Here is a 2,621-nt window from a genome sequence, read left to right as displayed (position 1 = left end):
TCCCTTCCTTCTCTCTCTCGTCACAAAACTAAGAACAAGCTATTTTAACTCTTCAGGGCATGTGAGAAAGAAGAAAAAAATTATGTTTTTTAAGCTCAGCTTTTCATTGGACCACCATTCATTTTCTTAAAGCAGAGCAGATTTCTAGTCTGAATTATCTTTGACACGGTCCCATTTACCTGTGAAACATTTAGGGTAGAATTTCCCTCTATCTTTCCCCACCACCTTCTCTCCCTTACGAATTTCTGCCTAACTCTTTGGCATAATGTTCAGTCAGCTTATTGAATTCTACTTGAAATTTTCAAGAATTATACCTCAAATGAGGACTCCTTAATATAATTGCTGTTTCTTTAAAATAAAAAATCAGATGTTCAACTTAGGTTATACAGCCAAGAATAGCAGTTCATATCAGCTGCAAGAAAGACTGAGCACCTTACAGCAAGAGCCCCTTAATCAAAAAGCAATCTTTTGGGATGAGTTAGTAGTACTTTGCCTCTGGCGCTAACCAGTTCCCCTACTTTCATTGTATATTTCCACAGGAGTCTAATGATGAAATACATTAGATTTTCTCACAGGTGAAGTAGAAACACACTCAAAGCATTGCCTTTCTAGGGTCACATGGTGCTTCTAAAAACAAGGGGAGGAGGTCAGGAGCAGTAACAGCATCCAAACCAACAATGTATTCTACAAGTAAAAGCCTTGAAGAGGAAAGGGAGAAATTCCCCTTTCACAGGAATATTTATACGAAATTCGCTATGTGCAATATTGCAAAGAAGAGAAACACAAAACGATTTGGTTTGGTGATGAGCAGGACTAGGGGAGTAAATCTTCGTTTCTAAATAAAAAGCTTACCATTTAGTCATGAGGATATCCTTGACCCTTATCCAGAAAAGCTTCACAGCTGCAAGGAAAAAAAATAGAATTCATTTGAGGAAAAATGTTCTGGTATTGGGGAATAAAGATTTATACCTATCCAGTGGGCTTTATCTGCTCTAGATCTACAAAGACACAGCATTATATAGTGGGTAAAAATATAAGACGGTGTAAGTCTTCATTATTTGCCCACAGAGGACACAGATTGCATTTAATTGAATTATTTTATTTGTATTTTATTTATTTTCACGTATGCATACAAACTTACATACAATGCACATATCCATACATACACAAATAAGATGTTTGCTCTCTTTAACGTATACATAAACATGAGTACCTTCACACACACCACTGTTTCATAAAACATGTGGCAGACATAGCATCTTTCTTTCCCAATTCATGGTCTCCTGACCTCCCAACAGGGCAGGGCTCCAAGAACAAGACAGGTGGTAATATCTTAGATTTGCCTTGCCTTCGAGACAGCTTCTTTGACTTCCACTGAGCTCTGAAATTAGCCTCCAGTCAAACATGTAAAAGCAAATTATGAATCAGGGTAAAAAAGCTATATAAATATGCCATATTTGTTTTTTGTATTGTTTTGTTTGGTTGTTTTGTATTGTTTTTAACCTTCACTGATTCGGGCGAGGTAATTAAGTACTTTGACATGAAAGATCTCCTGCTGGGTGATAGGCTACATGGGGAAGGGAAATTAGACAAAAGGTGTTGAGTAATAACCACAAATGACTTTATAGCCCATTCTGTTTGAATGTCAATAGAACTCACAAAGCAAGATTTGCAGAAGATAATCAGCAATGACTCCCCCAAGTATAATCAGGAAATGAATATAATTAGCCATTTGTAAGCCAAGAGGTCTGCCACTATGATTTCGTATTCAGTGCAATATATATATATATATATATATATATATATATATATATATATATATATATATGATGGACAGTGACCTAAAAGCTCAAAATAATAACAGGCATTTATTATCTTTACAACATTTATCAGTATTGAATTAATTTGGCAGATTCTTAATGAATTTTCCAAAGTATATGCATCACATATCATTGTATATATTATTGTAAGCTGTTTCTAAGCTTTTGAGGAATGAGGGGTGGTGAAAACAATAAATAATAAATATAACCACACATTGTGTAAATAATGGTTGTATAAATAAAAGTTATATTGGAAACATATAGTCTATCATCCTTTACACGTCACAAGATGATAAAAACTGTGTTTGTATTTGTTCCCACGTAAAATATTCACTTAGAAGAACACATTGAAAGAGAAGCTGATAAGAAACAACAATTGTTTTATACAAAATTAATTTAGTTGCAATGGCTTTTGCCCATATACCCAAGCTAATGAGCTTAATCAAACAAGGCACTTCTAAAAATGGAGTAATGTGTTTGAAATTACAAAACTCGGCCTTCCAAATTTAGATATGGATTTTTTAAAGGACTTTTTAAAAAATTCTAAGTTATAATCGATAAGAAAAGATACATCAAAAATCATGACATATTTCCTAAAGGAGGCTGTCTATATATTATCAATATGCCTAAATAACAGGAAAAAAATGCAGTCACTGACAGATTTTTTTTTAAACGCAATCACTTTGCCCACATGACATTTACCATATTACAATTCCTGGGCGTGCTGAGCATTAGAAAACCCTGGGTAAGCCACCTTGATGGTTATTAAGATACAACGCTAAAGAAAAATATTTTGCAACA

The 2,621-nt window shown here is 34.1% G+C and overlaps 1 annotated feature.

Moving 5' to 3' along the window:
• Positions 1,283–1,811: an enhancer, noted in NCBI's record as "NANOG hESC enhancer chr6:91867325-91867853 (GRCh37/hg19 assembly coordinates)". NCBI's record gives its function as "activates a minimal SCP1, AML or CMV promoter by ChIP-STARR-seq in naive H9 embryonic stem cells {active_cell/tissue: H9 hESC(naive)}" and the evidence as "EXISTENCE:reporter gene assay evidence [ECO:0000049][PMID:30033119]".

The sequence above is a fragment of the Homo sapiens genome, chromosome 6 (genome assembly GCF_000001405.40).
Source record: "Homo sapiens chromosome 6, GRCh38.p14 Primary Assembly".
NCBI lineage: Eukaryota > Metazoa > Chordata > Mammalia > Primates > Hominidae > Homo > Homo sapiens.
The sequence above is the reverse complement of the archived record's forward strand: the minus strand, read 5'-3'. Positions and strand labels throughout refer to the sequence as shown.